This window comes from Homo sapiens, chromosome 19 (genome assembly GCF_000001405.40).
Source record: "Homo sapiens chromosome 19, GRCh38.p14 Primary Assembly".
In the NCBI taxonomy this organism is placed as follows: Eukaryota; Metazoa; Chordata; class Mammalia; order Primates; family Hominidae; genus Homo; species Homo sapiens.
The window spans coordinates 8968442-8994122 of record NC_000019.10 but is presented as its reverse complement, the minus strand read 5'-3'; the positions used below and the strand labels follow the sequence as shown (position 1 = coordinate 8994122).

At 46.9% G+C, this 25681-nt stretch overlaps 1 protein-coding gene across 4 annotated transcripts in view, besides 1 other annotated feature; it reads left to right on the top strand.

The window, feature by feature from the left end:
• MUC16 (mucin 16, cell surface associated) overlaps positions 1-25681 on the top strand; it is a gene marked incomplete in the record, with an annotated part of 216908 nt that overhangs the window by 71629 nt on the left and 119598 nt on the right. For 2 of the 4 annotated variants that reach the window (NM_001414686.1, NM_001401501.2), the window contains 4 exon segments: positions 15-128; positions 8474-8572; positions 13166-22459; positions 24244-24348. In NM_001414686.1, the coding sequence (NP_001401615.1) occupies positions 15-128; positions 8474-8572; positions 13166-22459; positions 24244-24348 (9612 nt within the window). 4 annotated transcript variants of the gene reach the window in all.
• Positions 20343-20543: a silencer, noted in NCBI's record as "peak3341 fragment used in MPRA reporter construct". NCBI's record gives its function as "represses an SCP1 promoter by STARR-seq MPRAs in K562 erythroleukemia cells {active_cell/tissue: K562}" and the evidence as "EXISTENCE:reporter gene assay evidence [ECO:0000049][PMID:32103011]".

The window sequence follows — 25681 nt, the reverse complement described above, 5'->3', positions numbered from 1 at the left end:
TTCTTCCTCCACAGGGCTGCCTTTCGACGCAGTGGTCTTTGCCCAAACCACAGACCAAGGAACACTTGGAGCCACCAGGCAGTTGACCCACGACCCTTCCTCCCCGGCGTCACTCATCAGCTCCGTGGGTAGGTAATAATAAAATAAATAATAATAATAATAATAATTAAATAATAATAAATAATAAAAACCAGTAACAGGCTGGGCGGTGGCTCACGCCTGTAATCCCAGCACTTTGGGAGGCTGAGGCAGGCGGATCACGAGGTCAAGAGATCAAGACCATTCTGGCTAACACAGTGAAACCCCATCTCTACTCAAAATACAAAAATTAGCCAGGCGTAGTGGCGCACACCTGTAGTCCCAGCTGCTTGGGAGGCTGAGGCAGGAGAATTGCTTGAACCCAGGAGGCAGAGGTTGCAGTGAGCCGAGATCACGCCATTGCACTCCAGCTTGGCGACAGTGCAAGACTCCGTCTCAAAACAAACAAACAAAAAACAAAAATAAAAAAACAAAATGACAACAAAAAACCGCCCCACCGCCCCAAAAAAAAACAGTAACAGGAGTTTATTAAGTCCTAATTCCTTCACCCTGCATGGTGGATCACATCACTGCATCATCTCAACAGCCCTCTGCTGTTATCCCCGTTGGGCATATGAGGAGACAAGGCTCAGAGAGGTTAAGTGACTTGCCCCAGATCACACAGTGAGTAATTGGGACTTGAGTCCCACTGAGTCCACTTCTTTCATTTTCCTCCCACTGTGCATTTTGTTTCCTGCTCTGGGAAGATTGCAATTGGCTTGATTTTAGGAAGGAAAGAAAATGAGTCTTCAAGAGATGATTTGGGCTGGGCACAGTGGCTCACACCTTGTAATCCCAGCACTTTGGTAGGCCAAGGCGGGTGGATCACTTGAGGTCAGGAGTTCAAGAACAGCCTGGCCAACATGGTGAAACCCCATGTTCTCTACTAAAAATACAAAAACTAGCCAGATGTAGTGGTGCCAGCCTGTAATCCCAGCTACTCAGGAGGCTGAGGCAGGAGAATCGTTTGAACCCAGGAGGTGGAGGTTGCAGTGAGCCAAGATCGCATCACTGCACTCCAGCTTGGGTGACAGAGTGAGACTCCGTCTCCCCACCACCCCAAAAAAAGAGAAAGGTGATTTGAATCTGAGGACTGTGTAAGTAAACTCTGTGTCTTCTGCCTTACTCACAAATATTGGCAGGCTGGCATGGCGGTGAGTGCCTGTAGTCCCAGCTACTCAGGAGGCTGAGTCAGGAGGATTGGTTGAGCCCAGAAGTTGGAGAGTGCAGTGAACTATGATTGCACCATTGCATTACAGCCTGGTTGACAGAGAAAGACCCTGTCTCAAAAACAAAAAACAAAAAACAGGCCAAGCACAGTGGCTCACACCTGTAATCCCAGCACTTTGGGAAGCTGAGGGATGAGGATCACTTGATCCCAGGAATTTGAAATTAGTCTGGGTACCATGGTGAAATCCCATCTCCATAAAAAAATATATATATATACACACACACACACACACACATATATATATACACACACACATATATATATATATATTAGGTGGGTATGGTGGCATGCACCTATACTTCCAGCTACTAGGGAGGCTGAGGCGGACAGATTGCTTGAGCCTAGAAGTTGGAGGCTGTAGTGAGCCATGATTGAACCACTGCACTGCAGCCTGGGCAGCAGAGCAAAACTGTCTCAAAAGAGGGGAAAAAAAAAATGAACAAACACTGGCTTCCTCAGGAGCAGGCAGGAGAGACAGCCCGGTCCTCATCCTCCCCCTGACCCTCTCATCTACCCGCTCACCTTCTCTCTCCATATCCACAGTGTCCTAGAGGCAGATGGCGTTGATGGGGCTGCTGTGAGTGTGGCCACCAACCCTGTCACATAAACAGGCAGGTTTCCCATTGCTGGGAGATGATTCCCCAGGTGTCTCCTTGGAGGGAACCAGCCCAGGCAGGCAGAAGGGGTTCAAGGCAGGAGCCCTGCTGAGGTTCTTCCTGCTGCCTCCTGCTCCTTGCCTCTGGGTGTTAGGTCCTCCCTTTCCTAGGAGTCTAGTTCTGTTCCCTTTATTTGTTGAGACAGAATCTTGCTCTGTCGCCCAGGCTGCAGTGCAGTGGTGCGATCTCGACTCTCTTGCAACTTCCGCCTCCCGGGCTCAAGCGATTCTCCTGCCTCAGCCTCTTGAGCAGCTGGGATTACAGGCGTGCACTACCGCACTAGGTTAATTTTTGTATTTTTAGTAGCGACAGGGTTTCACCATGTTGTCCAGGGTGGTCTTGAACTTCTGACTCTGCCTGCCTTGGCCTCCCAAAGTGCTGGGATTACAGGCGTGAACCGCTGCGCCCGACCTTGTATTGGGATGATGACTTTATAAGCAGCACAACAGAGCAGTTAACAGAGGAGACACTGATATTGGACAGCTTGGGTTCAAATCCCACCTCTGCTACTTTCTGGACAAATAAGGAAACCTCTCTGAACCTCCAGTGTCTTGGGAATAAACGCCCTATGTGACCGAGTAACTGTAAAATCTGAATTAAATTACATGCTGCCTCCAAACAGTGGTTATCAACTGAATGTGATTTTTGTCTCCCAGGAGACATTTGTCATATCTGGAGACATTTTTGGTTGTCAGAAATAGGAGGGTGGGTGCCAGTGACACAAAGCAAAGCCCCTCTTCCTAACCCTGGTGAAAGCTGGAATTGTTTTAATGTGCATCCTATGAGGATGCAACTTACATTAATTAGTTAAGTGTGACTGCTGAAGGAGGGAGAGATTATTCACCATGTGAGCACTGTAAGCTTCACATCCGTTTAGGTGGCTGCTACAAAAACAAACAAAACAACACAGGAAAACATAAAAATATTATAACAAATGAGGCTGAGGATGTGCAGAAATTAGAACACTTGTGCACCGCGGGTGGGAGTCTAAATGGTGCCCCAACTGTGGAAAAGAGTATGATGCTTCCTAAAAAAAAAATTAGAAATAGAATTACCAGATAATCCAGCAACACCACTTCTGGGTATATATTGAAAAGAATTGAAAGCAGAACAGAGACTCAAGCAGGTATTTATACACCGGTGCTCATAGCAGCATTATTTACAATGCCCCAAATGTAGAAACCATCCAAATGTCCTTTGGCAGATTAATGGATTAAAAAAATATATTCCATCCCCACAATGGAATTTTTTTTTCTTTCTTTTTTTTTTTTTTTGAGATGGAGTCTCACTCTGTCGCCCAGGCTGGAGTACAATGGCGTGATCTCAGTTCACTGCAACCTCCGCCTCCTGGCTTCAAGCAATCCTCCCATCTTAGCCTCCTGAGTAGCTGGGATTATAGGGCACCACCACGCCCAGCTAGTTTTTGCATATATATATATAACATATATATGTATTTTTTTCTTTTTTGAGACAGAGTCTCGCTCTGTTGCCCAGGCTAGGGTGCAATGGCGAGATCTTGGCTCACTGCAATCTCCACCTCCTGGGTTCAAGCAATTCTCCTGTCTCAGCCTTCTGAGTAGCTGGGGTTACAGGTGCCTGCCACCATGCTCGGCTTATTTTTGTATTTTTATAGAGACAGAGTTTCACCATGTTGGCCAGGCTGGTCTTGAACTCCTGACCTCAGGTGATCCGCCGGCATTGGCCTCCCAAAATGCTGGGATTACAGGCGTGAGCCACCGTGCCCAGCCTAATTTTTGTATTTTTAGGAGAGACGGGCTTTCACCATGTTGGCCAGGCTGGTATCGAACTGCTGACCTCAAGTGATCCGCCTGCCTTGGCTTCCCAAAGTGCTGGGATTACAGGCGTGAGCCACCACTCCTGGCCCCCACAATGGAATATTATTCAGCCTTAAAAAGGAAGGACATTGTGACACATGCTACAATGTGGGTGAACGTTGAGGACAGTGTGCTAAGTGAAATAAGGCAGTCACAAAAGGACACATTCTGTATGATCCCACTTATGTGAGGTTCCTAGAGTCATCACATTCATAAAGACAGAAAGCAGAATAATGGGTGCTGGGGGCTGGGGAGGGGCAATGGGGAGCATAGTCCTTCCTATCTCCCATTCAGTTCCTCGAACTAGAGAACAACAATCCTGACTCCATACACACACAGCCCACCTACCCACAGGAACTGGGGCAGAGACATCTACCACTGTGGTGCTGATTGACAGAAGTGCCCCATTCTCTGCCTCTCCAGGGGTTCAGCTGCCCTTTTCTTTTCTTTTCGTTTCTTTTCTTTTCTTTTTTTTTTTTGGAGACTGACTGAGTCTCGCTCTGTCGCCCAGGCTGGAGTGCAGTGGCGCAGTCTTGGCTCACTGCAAGCTCTGCCTCCAGAGTTCACGCCATTCTCCTGCCTCAGCCTCCTGAGCAGCTGGGACTACAGGCGCCCGCCACCGCGCCCAGCTAATTTTTTGTATTTGTAGTGAAGACGGGGTTTCACCGTGGTCTCGATCTCCTGACCTCGTGATCCGCCCGCCTCGGCCTCCCAAAGTGCTGGGATTATAGGCTTGAGCCACCGCGCCCAGCCTCAGCTGCCCTTTCAAGCTCTACTTGTTCCTAGTCAATGCTAAGGTTACAAATTGACTAACTGTCTTCGTAAGTATTGCTTTTCAGACTCCCTGGAAAATCATCTAGGGCTACATGCCCTTGGGAATGGCTTTCCAAATTTATTTTTTAATTTTTATTTATTTATTTTTTTGAGACGGAGTTTCACTCTTGTTGCCCAGGCTGGAGTGCAATGGCTTGATCTCGGCTCACCGCAAACTCCACCTCCCGGGTTCAAGCGATTCTCCTGCCTCAGCCTCCAGAGTAGCTGGGATTACAGGCATGTGCCACCACATCCGGCTAATTTTGTATTTTTAGTAGAGATGGGGTTTCTCCATGTTGGTCAGGCTGGTCTTGAACTCCTGACCTCAGGTGATCCACCCACCTCGGCCCCCCAAAGTGCTGGGATTACAGGTGTGGGCCACCACGCCCGGCCATAAATTTCAAGACCCGCCCCCCCCGCCAACTAAGTATTACTACTAGTCTTGTTCAGCAATGCGTCATGCCTTCACCCTTTTCCCCTCCTGCACGAGATGTCCCTATGACACAGCTTGCCATCTAAATTCTAGGAAACATCGGGTACTGTAGCATTTTCAAAGATAGAAAAGATTTAGCTGAGGTCTGGCGTGGTGGCTGACACCCGTAATCCCAACACTTTGGGAAGCTGAGGAGGGAGGATTGCTTGAGCCCAGGAGTTGGAGATCACTTTAGGCAACATGACAAGACTGCATCTCTACAATTAAAAAAAGAAAAAATTAGCCAGGCATGGTGGTGCATGCCTGTAGTCCCAGCTACTCAGGAGGCCGAGGCGGGAGGATTGCTTGAGCCCAAGAGATCGGGGCTGCAGTGAGCTACGATCACACCTCTGCCCTCCAGCCTGGGTGACAGAGCAAGACCCTGTTTCAAAAATAGAAGATTCAGCTAAGAACTAAGAATGTGTGAGGACCCAAGGTAAGAAAGCACCCGAACTACTTGACATGGACAAGGCTATGACTAGGTAGTGAAATATCACTGTCTGTAGAACCTTTGGAATGCCTCTAAACAAACAGGAAACATCCTTTTCTATTTCCAAATAGGTCAAGTATTAGGTAACCAAAGTAACCAAATAGACCCGAGATTCTTTTAGCTACGTAAATAATAACTAAATCTGATACATACAAGAAGATAAACTAAAAGGATTGGCCAGCAGGGGGCACTTGTGTCTTCCTCGCGGGGTGTAGCATCTACAAAAACTACTGGTTAAATTCTAATTCTGGGCCAAGCGCAGTGGCCCAGGCCTGTAATCCCAGCACTTTGGGAGGCCGAAGCGGGCGGATCACCTGAGGTCAGGAATTCGAGACCAGCCTGGCTAACGTGGCGAAACCCCGTCTCTATTAAAAATACAAAAATTAGGCTGGGCGCAGTGGCTCACGCCTGTAATCCCAGCACTTTGGGAGGCTGAGGCGGGCGGATCACGAGGTCAGGAGATCGAGACCACCCTGGCTAACACGGTGAAACCCTGTCTCTACTAAAAATACCAAAAAAAAAAAAAAAAAAAAAAAAAAAATAGCCGGGCGTGGTGGCAGGCACCTGTAGTCCCAGCTACTTGGGAGGCTGAGGCAGGAGAATGGCGTGAAGCCGGGAGGTGGAGCTTGCAGTGAGCCGAGATCCCGCCACTGCATTCCAGCCTAGGCGACAGAGTGAGAGTCCATCTCAAACAAAACAAAACAAAACAAAACAAAACAAAACAAAACAAAACAAAACAATTAGCCAGGTATGGTTGTGCGTGCCTGTAATCCCAGCTACTTGGGAGGCTGAGGCAAGAGAATTACTTGAACCCAGGAGGCGGAGGTTGCAGTGAGCCGAGATCATGCCACTGCACTCCTGCCTGGGCGACAGAAAAGGACTCCATGTCAAAATAAATAAATAAATAAATAAATAAAATAAAATAATAAATCCTAACTCTGGCTGTGTGTGGTGTGTGGTGGCTAGTGCCTGTAATCCCAGTGCTTTGGGAGGCTGAGGCAGAAGGATCACTTGAGGCCAGGAGTTTGAGACCAGTCTGGACAACATAGTGAAACTTCAACTCTACTAAAAATTAAAAAAAAATTCTCTGGGCATAGTGGCACCCACCTGTAGTCCCAGCTACTTGAGAGGCTGAGGCAGAAGGATTACTTGAGCCCAGGAGTTCGAGGCTACAGTGAGCTAAGATCGTACCACTGCACTCCAGTCTGGGCAACAGAGCAAGACCCCATCTCTAAAGCAACATATTAACTTTATATCATGGTGTTTAAATATTGTTAACTTTACTTTAAAAACATTGTTAACTCTCTAAAGAAAATACTGTTAACTCGGCCAGGTGCAATGGCTCATGCTTGTAATCCAAGGAGGCCGAGGCAGCAGATCACCTGAGGTCAGGAGTTTGAGACCAGCCTGGCCAGCATGGTGAAACCCCGTCTTTACTAAAAATACGAAAATTAGCCAGGCATAGTGGCACATGCCTGTAGTTCCAGCTACTCGGGAGGCTGAGGCAGGAGAATTGCTTGAACCCAAAAGGCAGAGGTTGCAGTGAGCTGAGATCACACCACTGCACTTCAGCCTGAGCAACAGAGCAAGACTCCGTCTCAAAAAAAAAAAAAAAATATATATATATATTGTTAACTCTCTAAAGAAAATCCTAACTCTGCCACTTCCTGGTTCTGGGACCTGAGGCTTGTCATTTCACCTCCTTAGACTTCAGTTTCTTCAGCTGTAAAATGGGAAGGATAGCACTTGTCTCCCCAGGTTGTGGTGAGGACCAAGGCACTCCACATAACACCTGCATGTAGCATCTTCTCTGCTAATGTTTTGACCCAGTAGACAAGAGAGCGATGCAACAGGGAAAGATCAGAGCACATTCTGTACTCAAAGGAACATCCCAAAGGTGTGACATCAGTGACAGCCTGGCTGCCCAAAGCACCAGAAAGCCTGTCGTCACCAGAGGAACCAATGAGCCCAGCATTGCCCAACAAATAGCATCACTGAGGCGACCTTTGCAAGGTAGATGTCAACAGCAATCATCACCATGGGGACAACAGCCACCTCCACTGCCCTCCAGGCCACGTCTACCCAGAGCAGAATTTGCAAAATCCACAACAGCCACACCACATAGTGGATCCAGATGATTCACAACAGCAGCCTCCTAAAGTCATGAATACAGCCATGAGTATGGATTCTCCCAGCTGAGACCACAGCTACTCCTGGCTCAGTGATTCAGTCATTGAGGACAGTCTCCTGTGCCATTCCTGAGTCAATGCAATGTAGACGGTGTAGCTACTTCCACCCATGCTGATGCTCTACTTGCAAAACAATCTGTGAAGATGGTAGAAGGACTCCCATTGTATCATGTTCTCATGTCTTACTTGGGTCAAAGCCATTATTTAACCTGGAATGCCTCACCTACTGTCATCCCCAATTCCCCAATTCCTTTTTGGTCTACAAATCATGCTTTCTTTCTTTCTTTCTTTTTTTTTTTTTGAGGCCGAGTCTCGCTCTGTCGCCCAGGCTGGAGTGCAGTGGCATGACCTCGGCTCACTGCAACCTCCGCCTTCTGGGTTCAAGCAATTATCCTACCTCAGCCTCCCAAGTAGCTGGGATTACAGGAACGTGCCACCACTCCTGGCTAATTTTTGGTTCAAGTGGTCCTCCAACATCAGCCTCGCGAGTAGCTGGAACTACAGGCAAGCACCACCACGCCTGGTTAATTTTCTAAATTGTTTTGTAAAGATGGGGTCTTTCTATATTGCCCAGGCTGGATTTGAACCCCTGGCCTCAAGTGATCCTACTGCTCAGCATCCCAAAGTGCTGGGATTACAGGTGTGAACCATCATGCCCTGTTCTGAGCTTCCTTACTTAGGTGCTCTTTCCATCCTTTTCTCCTCACAGGAACTCACGAGCCTGGGGAGAATTCGTCATCCCCACATGGAACCTCAGTATGGCCAACAGGCAGCCCTCTGGTAGAAAAATCAACAATCAGTCCTGCAGGTATGCTCCAATCTCATCTCCTCCACATTGTTATGGTCTCCCGGAGCTTTGTTAATCTCTTTGAAGACGAACATTTTTGATCTTTTCCATAGGGGAAGTGCAAGGGACGCCTGTGTTGGAGTTTGCTCCCCAGCTACAGGGCTCCCTAACTTTTTATTTAACCTCCAGCTTTATGACCATGTACAAGTATGCAATTCTAATCTTTATCTTGTTTTGAGATTCTAATCCAGAGTAGTTGGGGGACAGGAAGCCCAGCCTATAACCCCTGATTTTTTTTTTTTTTTTTGAGACAGAGTCTCATTCTGTCACCCAGGCTGGAGTGCAGTGGCACAATCTCAGCTGACTGCAACCCCTGCCTCCCGAGTTTAAGCAATTTTGGTGTCTCAGCCTCCTGAGTAGCTGGGATTACAGGCGCCTGCCACCACCCCCGGCTAATTTTTGTATTTTTTGGTAGAGACGGAGTTTCACCATGTTGGTCAGGCTGGTCTTGAACTCCTGACCTCAAGTAATCTGCTCTCCTCAGGACTCTCTTGGAAGGATTTTTTTTTTTTTTTTTTTTTTTAGATGGAATTCTGCTCTTTGTCTCCCAGGCTGGAGTGCAATGGTGCGATCTTGGCTCACTGTAACCTCCGCCTCCCAGGTTCAAGTGATTCTCCTGTCTCAGCCTCCGGAGTAGCTGGAATTACAGCCACCCGCCACCACGCCCAGCTAGTTTTTGTATTTTTAGTAGAGACGGGGTTTAACCATGTTGGCCAGGCTGGTCTTGAACTCCTGACCTCAGGTGATCCGCCCGCTTTGGCCTCCCAAAGTGCTGGGATTACAGGCGTGAGCCACTGCGCCCAGCAGGAACTCTTAGTTCAGAAGAAGAGTGAGCTAATAATGTATATGTCTTATAGCACTTTTTTGCATCTAAGTTGTTTTATTTGGGATCAGAAGACTTTTATTTTCTTTTTTAAAATTTAGCTTTTATTTTAAGTTTAGGGGTACATGTGCAGGCTTGTTATATAGGTAAACTTTTGCCATTGGGGTTGGTTTTACAGATTATTTCATCACCCAGGTATTAAGCCTAGTATCCATTAGTTATTTTTCCTGATCTTCTCCCTCCTCCCACCCTCCACCCTCCAATAGGCCCTTAATTAAACTAAAGAGCTTCCGCACAGTAAAGGAAACTATCAACAGAGTAAACAGACAATCTACAGAATGGGAGAAAAGCTTTACAAACTTTGCATCTGACAAAGGTCTAATATCCAGCATCTAAAAGAAACGTGCCGGGTGTGGTGGCTCACACCTGTAATCCCAGCACTTTGGCGGATCACCTGAGGTTGGGAGTTCGAGACCAGCCTGCCCAACATGGAGAAAGCCAATCTCTACTAAAAATACAAAAATTAGCCGGGCATGGTGGCACATGCCTGTAATTCCAGCTACTCCAGGGGCTGAGGCAGAAGAATCGCTTGAACCCGGAAGGTGGAGGTTGCAGTGAGCCGAGATTGCACCACTGCACTCCAGCCTGGGTGACAGAGTGAGACTCCATCTCAAAAAAAATAAAAAATAAAAAATAAACGAATTTATAATTTAAAAAACCAGCAAAAAACAAAACAAACAAACAAAAGAAACATTACACAGTGGGCAAAGGACGTGGTTCTTCAATCATTTTGACCTGGATAAAATTGGTAGCTCCTGAGTAGAAAAGAAGATTGGGAAAGCATGAGGAATGAATTATAGTTTCACTTACCCCACCGGCCTAGGGAAAAACTCAATTCCTAGGAGACGCAGCTTAGAACCAAGGTGGGCCTCATCTTGAGAGAAATCCATGAGCCATGCCTATCTTAGTCTGTATTGCATTGCTTATAGCAGAACAGCTGAAACTGGGTAATTTACAAAGAAAAATAATGTATCTATTACAGATATGGAGGCTGGAAAGTTGAAATCCAGAGGGGCACACCTGGTGAGAGCCCTGTTGCTGGTGGGGACTCTGTGGCATCCAGAGGTAGACAGGGCATCACACGTCAAGACAGCTGAGTGCGCTAATGTGATAGCACAGGTCTCACTTCCTATTTTAAAGCTTTTCTTTTCTTTTTTTGTTTGAGATGGAGTCTCAATCTGTCACCCAGGATGGAGTGCAGTGCTGCGATCTTGGCTCACTGCAACCTCCACCTCCTGGGTTCAAGTGATTTTCCTCTCTTAGCCTCCTGAGTAGCTGGGACCACAGGTGCGCACCACTATGTCTGGCTAATTTTTGTATTTTTTTGTAGAGACATGGTTTCACCATGTTGGCCAGGCTGGTCTCGAATTCCTGACTTCAAGTAATCCACCCACCTCAGCCTCCCAAAGTGCTGGGATTACAAGCATGAGCCACCATGCATGGCCTAAAGCTTCTTTTAAAGCCACCAAGTCCCTTCCCATGTTAGCCCACTAATCCATGGGTTAGTCATGAATGGATTAATCTATTCATACGGACAGAGCCCTCATCACCCAATCACCTCTTAAAGGCCCCACCTCTCAATACTGCCACACTGGGGATTAAGTTTCAACAGAGTTTTGGAGGGGACATTCAAATCATAGTAATGCCCAAAGTGAAAAATCTTCCCTGCACTTTTCCCTCAACAAAAACAGCCAGAGATAGTGAGCTGCCAGGAAATTCTTTTTTTTTTCCTCTTCTGTCCTAAATCAGCATCGCTAGACCTTTACATGATTCAACCTCATCTTCTTCACCCTCTGGGTCATGAAATTTTATTTATTTATTTATTATTTTCTTGGGACAGACTCTGGCTCTGTCGCCCAGGCTGAAGTGCAGTGGTGTGATCTTGGCTCACTGCAACCTCCGCCTCCCGGGTTCAAGCGATTCTCCTGCCTCAGCCTCCTGAGTAGCTGGGATTACAGGTGGGCGCCACCACACCCAGCTAATTTTTTGTATTTTTAGTAGAGATGGGGTTTCACCATATTAGCCAGGATGGTCTCCATCTCTTGACCTCGTGATCTGCCCACCTCAGCCTCCCAAAATGCTGGGATTACAGGCATGAGACACCACGCCCAGCAGGCCAGGGTCATGAGATTTTAATCAAGAGCAACTTCCACTGATTCCTGAGAGTGCATCTGTGGGCCCCTGCTCTGATCTGAACAGAAGTGCCGTGTCTTCTCTGACCTCCACTTCTCAATTCAAGAGCCTTAGTATCTGCCAGTATCACACACTGAGCATTAGCTCCATCTCATGGGGGTGTAGGTAGGGGCTCTATCTGCATCTTTCTTTCTTTTTTTCTTTCTTTCCCTTCCTCCCTTCCTCACTCCCTCGGTCCTCTCTTTCTTTCCTTTTCTTTCTTCCTTCCTCCCTTCCTCCCTCCCTCCCTCTCTCTTTCTCTCTTTCTTTCTTTCCTTCTTTCTTTCTTTCTCTCTTCCTTCCCTCCCTCCCTCCTTCCTTCCTTTCTCTTTCTTTCTCTTTCTTTCTTTTTTTCCTTCCTTCCTTCCTTCTTTCTCTTTCTCTCCCTCCCTTCCTTCCTTCCTTCCTTCCTTCCTTCCTTTCTTTCTTTCTTTCTTTCTTTCTTTCTTTCTTTCTTTCTTTCTTTCTTTCTTCCTTCCTTCCTTCCTTCCTTCCTTCCTTCCTTCCTTCCTTTCTTTTCTTTCTTTCTCTTTCTTTTTGAGACAGAGCTCTTATTACCCATGCTGGAGTGCAGTGGTGTGACCTTGGCTTACTGCAACATCTGCCTCCTAGGGTCAAGTGATTCTCCTGCCTCAGCCTCCTAAGTAGCTGGGATTACAGACACATGCCACCACACCCAATATTTATTTTTATTAAAATTTTTTTTAAAATTATTTTTAAAAAATTAAAAATAATTTTGTATTTTTAGTAGAGACGGGGTTTCTCCATGTTGGTCAGGCTGATCTCAAACTCCCAACCTCAGGTGATCCTCCCACCTCACCTCCCAAAGTGCTGGGATTACAGGCATGAGCCACCGTGCCCAGCCTGGTTCCTGGTTTCTAAGACATCACACACACACACACACACACACACACACACTCACACACTCAGAGAGAGAGAGAGAGAGAGGATCATTAAGACATGATACACTAAGAAATTCTATTCTGCAGACACTGAGAATCCGTTAAAAAGTTTGAAGGGAAGAATTGAGATCATCAGGTGTTTATTTGAGGAAATTGTCTGTGGTTGAACTATCCTTTCCTTTCTCTCCCTGAGATTTGGTCTTCTCAATTAGAAGCGTTGCACAATTCCCCCAACCTCCATACATACGGCAGCTCTTCTAGACACAGGTTTTCCCAGGTCAAATGCGGGGACCCCAGCCATATCTCCCACCCTGAGAAATTTTGGAGTTTCAGGGAGCTCAGAAGCTCTGCAGAGGCCACCCTCTCTGAGGGGATTCTTCTTAGACCTCCATCCAGAGGCAAATGTTGACCTGTCCATGCTGAAACCCTCAGGCCTTCCTGGGTCATCTTCTCCCACCCGCTCCTTGATGACAGGGAGCAGGAGCACTAAAGCCACACCAGAAATGGATTCAGGACTGACAGGAGCCACCTTGTCACCTAAGACATCTACAGGTGCAATCGTGGTGACAGAACATACTCTGCCCTTTACTTCCCCAGATAAGACCTTGGCCAGTCCTACATCTTCGGTTGTGGGAAGAACCACCCAGTCTTTGGGGGTGATGTCCTCTGCTCTCCCTGAGTCAACCTCTAGAGGAATGACACACTCCGAGCAAAGAACCAGCCCATCGCTGAGTCCCCAGGTCAATGGAACTCCCTCTAGGAACTACCCTGCTACAAGCATGGTTTCAGGATTGAGTTCCCCAAGGACCAGGACCAGTTCCACAGAAGGAAATTTTACCAAAGAAGCATCTACATACACACTCACTGTAGAGACCACAAGTGGCCCAGTCACTGAGAAGTACACAGTCCCCACTGAGACCTCAACAACTGAAGGTGACAGCACAGAGACCCCCTGGGACACAAGATATATTCCTGTAAAAATCACATCTCCAATGAAAACATTTGCAGATTCAACTGCATCCAAGGAAAATGCCCCAGTGTCTATGACTCCAGCTGAGACCACAGTTACTGACTCACATACTCCAGGAAGGACAAACCCATCATTTGGGACACTTTATTCTTCCTTCCTTGACCTATCACCTAAAGGGACCCCAAATTCCAGAGGTGAAACAAGCCTGGAACTGATTCTATCAACCACTGGATATCCCTTCTCCTCTCCTGAACCTGGCTCTGCAGGACACAGCAGAATAAGTACCAGTGCGCCTTTGTCATCATCTGCTTCAGTTCTCGATAATAAAATATCAGAGACCAGCATATTCTCAGGCCAGAGTCTCACCTCCCCTCTGTCTCCTGGGGTGCCCGAGGCCAGAGCCAGCACAATGCCCAACTCAGCTATCCCTTTTTCCATGACACTAAGCAATGCAGAAACAAGTGCCGAAAGGGTCAGAAGCACAATTTCCTCTCTGGGGACTCCATCAATATCCACAAAGCAGACAGCAGAGACTATCCTTACCTTCCATGCCTTCGCTGAGACCATGGATATACCCAGCACCCACATAGCCAAGACTTTGGCTTCAGAATGGTTGGGAAGTCCAGGTACCCTTGGTGGCACCAGCACTTCAGCGCTGACAACCACATCTCCATCTACCACTTTAGTCTCAGAGGAGACCAACACCCATCACTCCACGAGTGGAAAGGAAACAGAAGGAACTTTGAATACATCTATGACTCCACTTGAGACCTCTGCTCCTGGAGAAGAGTCCGAAATGACTGCCACCTTGGTCCCCACTCTAGGTTTTACAACTCTTGACAGCAAGATCAGAAGTCCATCTCAGGTCTCTTCATCCCACCCAACAAGAGAGCTCAGAACCACAGGCAGCACCTCTGGGAGGCAGAGTTCCAGCACAGCTGCCCACGGGAGCTCTGACATCCTGAGGGCAACCACTTCCAGCACCTCAAAAGCATCATCATGGACCAGTGAAAGCACAGCTCAGCAATTTAGTGAACCCCAGCACACACAGTGGGTGGAGACAAGTCCTAGCATGAAAACAGAGAGACCCCCAGCATCAACCAGTGTGGCAGCCCCTATCACCACTTCTGTTCCCTCAGTGGTCTCTGGCTTCACCACCCTGAAGACCAGCTCCACAAAAGGGATTTGGCTTGAAGAAACATCTGCAGACACACTCATCGGAGAATCCACAGCTGGCCCAACCACCCATCAGTTTGCTGTTCCCACTGGGATTTCAATGACAGGAGGCAGCAGCACCAGGGGAAGCCAGGGCACAACCCACCTACTCACCAGAGCCACAGCATCATCTGAGACATCCGCAGATTTGACTCTGGCCACGAACGGTGTCCCAGTCTCCGTGTCTCCAGCAGTGAGCAAGACGGCTGCTGGCTCAAGTCCTCCAGGAGGGACAAAGCCATCATATACAATGGTTTCTTCTGTCATCCCTGAGACATCATCTCTACAGTCCTCAGCTTTCAGGGAAGGAACCAGCCTGGGACTGACTCCATTAAACACTAGACATCCCTTCTCTTCCCCTGAACCAGACTCTGCAGGACACACCAAGATAAGCACCAGCATTCCTCTGTTGTCATCTGCTTCAGTTCTTGAGGATAAAGTGTCAGCGACCAGCACATTCTCACACCACAAAGCCACCTCATCTATTACCACAGGGACTCCTGAAATCTCAACAAAGACAAAGCCCAGCTCAGCCGTTCTTTCCTCCATGACCCTAAGCAATGCAGCAACAAGTCCTGAAAGAGTCAGAAATGCAACTTCCCCTCTGACTCATCCATCTCCATCAGGGGAAGAGACAGCAGGGAGTGTCCTCACTCTCAGCACCTCTGCTGAGACTACAGACTCACCTAACATCCACCCAACTGGGACACTGACTTCAGAATCGTCAGAGAGTCCTAGCACTCTCAGCCTCCCAAGTGTCTCTGGAGTCAAAACCACATTTTCTTCATCTACTCCTTCCACTCATCTATTTACTAGTGGAGAAGAAACAGAGGAAACTTCGAATCCATCTGTGTCTCAACCTGAGACTTCTGTTTCCAGAGTAAGGACCACCTTGGCCAGCACCTCTGTCCCTACCCCAGTATTCCCCACCATGGACACCTGGCCTACACGTTCAGCTCAGTTCTCTTCATCCCACCTAGTGAGTGAGCTCAGAGCTACGAGCAGTACCTCAGTTACAAACTCAACTGGTTCAGCTCTTCCTAAAATATCTCACCTCACTGGGACGGCAACAATGTCACAGACCAATAGAGACACGTTTAATGACTCTGCTGCACCCCAAAGCACAACTTGGCCAGAGACTAGTCCCAGATTCAAGACAGGGTTACCTTCAGCAACAACCACTGTTTCAACCTCTGCCACTTCTCTCTCTGCTACTGTAATGGTCTCTAAATTCACTTCTCCAGCAACTAGTTCCATGGAAGCAACTTCTATCAGGGAACCATCAACAACCATCCTCACAACAGAGACCACGAATGGCCCAGGCTCTATGGCTGTGGCTTCTACCAACATCCCAATTGGAAAGGGCTACATTACTGAAGGAAGATTGGACACAAGCCATCTGCCCATTGGAACCACAGCTTCCTCTGAGACATCTATGGATTTTACCATGGCCAAAGAAAGTGTCTCAATGTCAGTATCTCCATCTCAGTCCATGGATGCTGCTGGCTCAAGCACTCCAGGAAGGACAAGCCAATTCGTTGACACATTTTCTGATGATGTCTATCATTTAACATCCAGAGAAATTACAATACCTAGAGATGGAACAAGCTCAGCTCTGACTCCACAAATGACTGCAACTCACCCTCCATCTCCTGATCCTGGCTCTGCTAGAAGCACCTGGCTTGGCATCTTGTCCTCATCTCCTTCTTCTCCTACTCCCAAAGTCACAATGAGCTCCACATTTTCAACTCAGAGAGTCACCACAAGCATGATAATGGACACAGTTGAAACTAGTCGGTGGAACATGCCCAACTTACCTTCCACGACTTCCTTGACACCAAGTAATATTCCAACAAGTGGTGCCATAGGAAAAAGCACCCTGGTTCCCTTGGACACTCCATCTCCAGCCACATCATTGGAGGCATCAGAAGGGGGACTTCCAACCCTCAGCACCTACCCTGAATCAACAAACACACCCAGCATCCACCTCGGAGCACACGCTAGTTCAGAAAGTCCAAGCACCATCAAACTTACCATGGCTTCAGTAGTAAAACCTGGCTCTTACACACCTCTCACCTTCCCCTCAATAGAGACCCACATTCATGTATCAACAGCCAGAATGGCTTACTCTTCTGGGTCTTCACCTGAGATGACAGCTCCTGGAGAGACTAACACTGGTAGTACCTGGGACCCCACCACCTACATCACCACTACGGATCCTAAGGATACAAGTTCAGCTCAGGTCTCTACACCCCACTCAGTGAGGACACTCAGAACCACAGAAAACCATCCAAAGACAGAGTCCGCCACCCCAGCTGCTTACTCTGGAAGTCCTAAAATCTCAAGTTCACCCAATCTCACCAGTCCGGCCACAAAAGCATGGACCATCACAGACACAACTGAACACTCCACTCAATTACATTACACAAAATTGGCAGAAAAATCATCTGGATTTGAGACACAGTCAGCTCCAGGACCTGTCTCTGTAGTAATCCCTACCTCCCCTACCATTGGAAGCAGCACATTGGAACTAACTTCTGATGTCCCAGGGGAACCCCTGGTCCTTGCTCCCAGTGAGCAGACCACAATCACTCTCCCCATGGCAACATGGCTGAGTACCAGTTTGACAGAGGAAATGGCTTCAACAGACCTTGATATTTCAAGTCCAAGTTCACCCATGAGTACATTTGCTATTTTTCCACCTATGTCCACACCTTCTCATGAACTTTCAAAGTCAGAGGCAGATACCAGTGCCATTAGAAATACAGATTCAACAACGTTGGATCAGCACCTAGGAATCAGGAGTTTGGGCAGAACTGGGGACTTAACAACTGTTCCTATCACCCCACTGACAACCACGTGGACCAGTGTGATTGAACACTCAACACAAGCACAGGACACCCTTTCTGCAACGATGAGTCCTACTCACGTGACACAGTCACTCAAAGATCAAACATCTATACCAGCCTCAGCATCCCCTTCCCATCTTACTGAAGTCTACCCTGAGCTCGGGACACAAGGGAGAAGCTCCTCTGAGGCAACCACTTTTTGGAAACCATCTACAGACACACTGTCCAGAGAGATTGAGACTGGCCCAACAAACATTCAATCCACTCCACCCATGGACAACACAACAACAGGGAGCAGTAGTAGTGGAGTCACCCTGGGCATAGCCCACCTTCCCATAGGAACATCCTCCCCAGCTGAGACATCCACAAACATGGCACTGGAAAGAAGAAGTTCTACAGCCACTGTCTCTATGGCTGGGACAATGGGACTCCTTGTTACTAGTGCTCCAGGAAGAAGCATCAGCCAGTCATTAGGAAGAGTTTCCTCTGTCCTTTCTGAGTCAACTACTGAAGGAGTCACAGATTCTAGTAAGGGAAGCAGCCCAAGGCTGAACACACAGGGAAATACAGCTCTCTCCTCCTCTCTTGAACCCAGCTATGCTGAAGGAAGCCAGATGAGCACAAGCATCCCTCTAACCTCATCTCCTACAACTCCTGATGTGGAATTCATAGGGGGCAGCACATTTTGGACCAAGGAGGTCACCACAGTTATGACCTCAGACATCTCCAAGTCTTCAGCAAGGACAGAGTCCAGCTCAGCTACCCTTATGTCCACAGCTTTGGGAAGCACTGAAAATACAGGAAAAGAAAAACTCAGAACTGCCTCTATGGATCTTCCATCTCCAACTCCATCAATGGAGGTGACACCATGGATTTCTCTCACTCTCAGTAATGCCCCCAATACCACAGATTCACTTGACCTCAGCCATGGGGTGCACACCAGCTCTGCAGGGACTTTGGCCACTGACAGGTCATTGAATACTGGTGTCACTAGAGCCTCCAGATTGGAAAACGGCTCTGATACCTCTTCTAAGTCCCTGTCTATGGGAAACAGCACTCACACTTCCATGACTTACACAGAGAAGAGTGAAGTGTCTTCTTCAATCCATCCCCGACCTGAGACCTCAGCTCCTGGAGCAGAGACCACTTTGACTTCCACTCCTGGAAACAGGGCCATAAGCTTAACATTGCCTTTTTCATCCATTCCAGTGGAAGAAGTCATTTCTACAGGCATAACCTCAGGACCAGACATCAACTCAGCACCCATGACACATTCTCCCATCACCCCACCAACAATTGTATGGACCAGTACAGGCACAATTGAACAGTCCACTCAACCACTACATGCAGTTTCTTCAGAAAAAGTTTCTGTGCAGACACAGTCAACTCCATATGTCAACTCTGTGGCAGTGTCTGCTTCCCCTACCCATGAGAATTCAGTCTCTTCTGGAAGCAGCACATCCTCTCCATATTCCTCAGCCTCACTTGAATCCTTGGATTCCACAATCAGTAGGAGGAATGCAATCACTTCCTGGCTATGGGACCTCACTACATCTCTCCCCACTACAACTTGGCCAAGTACTAGTTTATCTGAGGCACTGTCCTCAGGCCATTCTGGGGTTTCAAACCCAAGTTCAACTACGACTGAATTTCCACTCTTTTCAGCTGCATCCACATCTGCTGCTAAGCAAAGAAATCCAGAAACAGAGACCCATGGTCCCCAGAATACAGCCGCGAGTACTTTGAACACTGATGCATCCTCGGTCACAGGTCTTTCTGAGACTCCTGTGGGGGCAAGTATCAGCTCTGAAGTCCCTCTTCCAATGGCCATAACTTCTAGATCAGATGTTTCTGGCCTTACATCTGAGAGTACTGCTAACCCGAGTTTAGGCACAGCCTCTTCAGCAGGGACCAAATTAACTAGGACAATATCCCTGCCCACTTCAGAGTCTTTGGTTTCCTTTAGAATGAACAAGGATCCATGGACAGTGTCAATCCCTTTGGGGTCCCATCCAACTACTAATACAGAAACAAGCATCCCAGTAAACAGCGCAGGTCCACCTGGCTTGTCCACAGTAGCATCAGATGTAATTGACACACCTTCAGATGGGGCTGAGAGTATTCCCACTGTCTCCTTTTCCCCCTCCCCTGATACTGAAGTGACAACTATCTCACATTTCCCAGAAAAGACAACTCATTCATTTAGAACCATTTCATCTCTCACTCATGAGTTGACTTCAAGAGTGACACCTATTCCTGGGGATTGGATGAGTTCAGCTATGTCTACAAAGCCCACAGGAGCCAGTCCCTCCATTACACTGGGAGAGAGAAGGACAATCACCTCTGCTGCTCCAACCACTTCCCCCATAGTTCTCACTGCTAGTTTCACAGAGACCAGCACAGTTTCACTGGATAATGAAACTACAGTAAAAACCTCAGATATCCTTGACGCACGGAAAACAAATGAGCTCCCCTCAGATAGCAGTTCTTCTTCTGATCTGATCAACACCTCCATAGCTTCTTCAACTATGGATGTCACTAAAACAGCCTCCATCAGTCCCACTAGCATCTCAGGAATGACAGCAAGTTCCTCCCCATCTCTCTTCTCTTCAGATAGACCCCAGGTTCCCACATCTACAACAGAGACAAATACAGCCACCTCTCCATCTGTTTCCAGTAACACCTATTCTCTTGATGGGGGCTCCAATGTGGGTGGCACTCCATCCACTTTACCACCCTTTACAATCACCCACCCTGTCGAGACAAGCTCGGCCCTATTAGCCTGGTCTAGACCAGTAAGAACTTTCAGCACCATGGTCAGCACTGACACTGCCTCCGGAGAAAATCCTACCTCTAGCAATTCTGTGGTGACTTCTGTTCCAGCACCAGGTACATGGACCAGTGTAGGCAGTACTACTGACTTACCTGCCATGGGCTTTCTCAAGACAAGTCCTGCAGGAGAGGCACACTCACTTCTAGCATCAACTATTGAACCAGCCACTGCCTTCACTCCCCATCTCTCAGCAGCAGTGGTCACTGGATCCAGTGCTACATCAGAAGCCAGTCTTCTCACTACGAGTGAAAGCAAAGCCATTCATTCTTCACCACAGACCCCAACTACACCCACCTCTGGAGCAAACTGGGAAACTTCAGCTACTCCTGAGAGCCTTTTGGTAGTCACTGAGACTTCAGACACAACACTTACCTCAAAGATTTTGGTCACAGATACCATCTTGTTTTCAACTGTGTCCACGCCACCTTCTAAATTTCCAAGTACGGGGACTCTGTCTGGAGCTTCCTTCCCTACTTTACTCCCGGACACTCCAGCCATCCCTCTCACTGCCACTGAGCCAACAAGTTCATTAGCTACATCCTTTGATTCCACCCCACTGGTGACTATAGCTTCGGATAGTCTTGGCACAGTCCCAGAGACTACCCTGACCATGTCAGAGACCTCAAATGGTGATGCACTGGTTCTTAAGACAGTAAGTAACCCAGATAGGAGCATCCCTGGAATCACTATCCAAGGAGTAACAGAAAGTCCACTCCATCCTTCTTCCACTTCCCCCTCTAAGATTGTTGCTCCACGGAATACAACCTATGAAGGTTCGATCACAGTGGCACTTTCTACTTTGCCTGCGGGAACTACTGGTTCCCTTGTATTCAGTCAGAGTTCTGAAAACTCAGAGACAACGGCTTTGGTAGACTCATCAGCTGGGCTTGAGAGGGCATCTGTGATGCCACTAACCACAGGAAGCCAGGGTATGGCTAGCTCTGGAGGAATCAGAAGTGGGTCCACTCACTCAACTGGAACCAAAACATTTTCTTCTCTCCCTCTGACCATGAACCCAGGTGAGGTTACAGCCATGTCTGAAATCACCACGAACAGACTGACAGCTACTCAATCAACAGCACCCAAAGGGATACCTGTGAAGCCCACCAGTGCTGAGTCAGGCCTCCTAACACCTGTCTCTGCCTCCTCAAGCCCATCAAAGGCCTTTGCCTCACTGACTACAGCTCCCCCAACTTGGGGGATCCCACAGTCTACCTTGACATTTGAGTTTTCTGAGGTCCCAAGTTTGGATACTAAGTCCGCTTCTTTACCAACTCCTGGACAGTCCCTGAACACCATTCCAGACTCAGATGCAAGCACAGCATCTTCCTCACTGTCCAAGTCTCCAGAAAAAAACCCAAGGGCAAGGATGATGACTTCCACAAAGGCCATAAGTGCAAGCTCATTTCAATCAACAGGTTTTACTGAAACCCCTGAGGGATCTGCCTCCCCTTCTATGGCAGGGCATGAACCCAGAGTCCCCACTTCAGGAACAGGGGACCCTAGATATGCCTCAGAGAGCATGTCTTATCCAGACCCAAGCAAGGCATCATCAGCTATGACATCGACCTCTCTTGCATCAAAACTCACAACTCTCTTCAGCACAGGTCAAGCAGCAAGGTCTGGTTCTAGTTCCTCTCCCATAAGCCTATCCACTGAGAAAGAAACAAGCTTCCTTTCCCCCACTGCATCCACCTCCAGAAAGACTTCACTATTTCTTGGGCCTTCCATGGCAAGGCAGCCCAACATATTGGTGCATCTTCAGACTTCAGCTCTGACACTTTCTCCAACATCCACTCTAAATATGTCCCAGGAGGAGCCTCCTGAGTTAACCTCAAGCCAGACCATTGCAGAAGAAGAGGGAACAACAGCTGAAACACAGACGTTAACCTTCACACCATCTGAGACCCCAACATCCTTGTTACCTGTCTCTTCTCCCACAGAACCCACAGCCAGAAGAAAGAGTTCTCCAGAAACATGGGCAAGCTCTATTTCAGTTCCTGCCAAGACCTCCTTGGTTGAAAGTAAGAATGCCCTGCTCCTTCCCCAAGTGTGCTGGGGATGAATCTGGAAATAAACTACATCTTTTTTATTTTTTAAACTTTTATATTTGAAAATATAAATATTTTAGGTTCAGGGAACATGTGCAGGTTTGTTATATAGGTAAATTGCATGTCATGGGGGCTTGGGGTACAGATTACATCATCAGCCAGGTAATAAGCCTAGTACCTGATCAGTAGATTTTTTTTAATCCTCTCCCTCCTCCCAGCCTCCACCCTCAATTCACATGTCTCCATGTGTACTCAAGGTTTAATTCCCACTTATGAGTGAGAACATGCGGTATTTGTAAACTACATCTTTATTTTTGCTAACCTCGAACTGAAATTTAGCATTTGTTTTATTGATGAATAGAGGTAACAAAACAAACCACATTAATCCTAGCAGTGCCTGTGCCTTTGCCAACAACAGAAATTCCGGACACTTTCATATCCTATGACAATTGTTGCAAGCACTTTTAAAAATCATGTACGACTTTATTCATAATTATAGTGGTTATTAGGCTTTTCAATAGATCTTATTTAATGAGTTAGTAAAATAAGTGCCTGTATTATTGTATTACATTTGTTTATTAAGATCTTGATAACAACATTTCAATATAATCATTTCCTTTGTTTTTTAAATTTTAGATTCAGGGGTATATGTGCAGGTTTGTTACGTGGATATACTGCATAATGATGAGGTTTGGCTTCTAGTGAACCCATCAGCCAAATAGTGAATGTTGTGCCCAATAAGTAGTTTTTCAATCCTCACTTCACTCCCAGCCTCCTCTATTTTGGAGTCCCAGTGTCTATTATTTCTATCTTTATGTCCACATGTACCCATTGGTTAGCTCCCACTTATAAGTGAGAATGTGCAGTATTTAATTTTCTGTTTTTGAGTTATTTTGCTTAGGTTGATGGCCTTCAGCTCCAGCCACGTTGCTTTAAAGAACATGATTTCATTCTTTTTTATGGCTGCATAGTACTCCGAGGTGTATGTGTACCAGATTTTCTTTATCCACAATGATTTCCTTTGTAATCTAATATTTTATATTGTTATTTTATGTTTTATTCTATATTTTTATTTTAATTTATAAAGGAATTCATATGGTTCACAAGCCTGTCAAAGGGACCTATAATAAAAAGAGGTTAAGAATCCATGCTCTAAACAGAATATTACTCCATTTTATTTCATTTATTTTTAAAGAGACAGTCTCACTCTGTCATCCAGGCTGGAGTACAGTGGAGTGATCATAGCTCATTGCAACCCTGAACTCTTGGGCACAAGCAATTCTCCTGCTTCATCCTCCAGAGGAGCTGGGACTACAGGTGCACATCACCATGCCCAGCTAGTTTTAAAAATTATTTTGTAGAGATGGTGTCTCACTATCCTACCCAGGCTGGTCTCAAACTCCTGGGCTCAGGCAATCCTCCCACTTTGACCTCCCAAAGTGTTGAGATTACAGGGGCAAGCCACTGTGCCTGGCCACTTGTCACATTTTAATTTGTGATTACTTATAAAATGAACCCCTTCCCATCTGAGATCTGTCAGTCTTTCTGGTGACGGTGCCTGGTGTCTGCTTTCTACCATGTCCTGTTAGACTAGTGTTTGATGGGAGGTCACCTGGGCAGCTGTCCAGCTCACTCACTGGGCTCTAGAGCCTCTGAGTTGAAGCAAAATAGAAAGATCAGTCAATGTAAAGAAAGCTCAAAAACTGACATTCTGAAGTAATGGATAGCTAAACCTTCCTATTGCCCTTTTCTTTCAGCAACTGATGGAACGCTAGTGACCACCATAAAGATGTCAAGCCAGGCAGCACAAGGAAATTCCACGTGGCCTGCCCCAGCAGAGGAGACGGGGAGCAGTCCAGCAGGTAAATATAGACCTTGTTTCCATTTCTGCTCTGCTAATGCCACCCAAGCCTTTCTTTTCTTTTCTTTTCTTTTCTTTTCTTTTCTTTTCTTTTCTTTTCTTTTCTTTCTCTCCCTTTCTTTCTTTCTTTCTTTCTTTCTTTCTTTCTTTCTTTCTTTCTTTCTTTCTCTTTCTTTCTTTCTTTCTTTCTTTCTTTCTTTCTCTTTCTTTCTTCTTTCTCTCTCTCTCTTTCTTTCTTTCTCTTGTTCTTTTTAAATTTTTTATTTTTTTACTTAATTTTTTTCACCCAAGCCTTAAGGCCAATTTGGACCAGATAGTGAGACCCCACCTCTATAAAAAAATTTTTTTTAAAAAAAATAAGTTGGGCATCGTGCAGGCCTGTAGTCCCTGCTACTCGAGAGGCCAAGGTGGGAGGACAGCTTGCTGCTGACTAAAAGTGCTGCTTATTGATTCTGGGAAGAAAAAATATACAAGGCTTCAGTTTCATTATTTTATAAGTAAATGCTAGCAACTTTTCCTTTCTTTCTCTCTTTCTCTCTTCCTCTCTTTCTCTCCTCTCCTTCTCTTCTCTCTCTCTCTCTCTCTCTTTCTCTCTCCTCTCCTTCTCTTCTCTTCTTTCTCTCTCTCTCTCTTTCATTTATTTTTGAGACATGGTCTCATTCTGTCACCCAGGCTGGAGTACAGTGGTGTATATTTACTGCAGTACTCACTGTACTCACTGCAGCCTCAAATTCCTGGGCTCAAGCTATCCTCTCACCTCAGCCTCCTGAGTAGCTGGGCAGCAGTCCAGCTCACTCACTGGGCTCTAGAGCCTCTGTGCTATGCCCAGCTTATTGTTGTTGTTTTTTTAAATTTTTTTTTTTGTACAGATGGGGTCTCACTATGTGGCCCAAGGTGGTCTTAAACTCCTGGCTCCAAGAGATCCTCCCACCTCAGCCTCCCAAAGTGCAGGGATTACAGGTGTGAGCCACTGTGCCCAGCCTAGACCGCATTTTTTTTTTGAAACAGGGTCTCCCTCTGTTGCCCAGGCTGGAGTGCAATGGCGTGTTCATGGTTCACTGCAGCCTCAGCCTCCTCAGTCTCAAGCAATCCTCCAACTTCAGCCTCCCCCAACAGCTAGAACTGCAGGTGATCATCACCAATTAGCCTGGTTAATTGTGTGTGTATTTCTTAAATTTTTTGTAGAGATAGTTCTCACTATATTGCTTGGGCTGGTCTCAAACTCCTGGACTCAAGTGATTCACCTACCTCGGCCTCCCTAAGCACTGGGATTACAGGCTTGAGCCACCACACCCAGCAAGGACTAGGTTTTAAAATAGGTTCCTAGGCTGGGT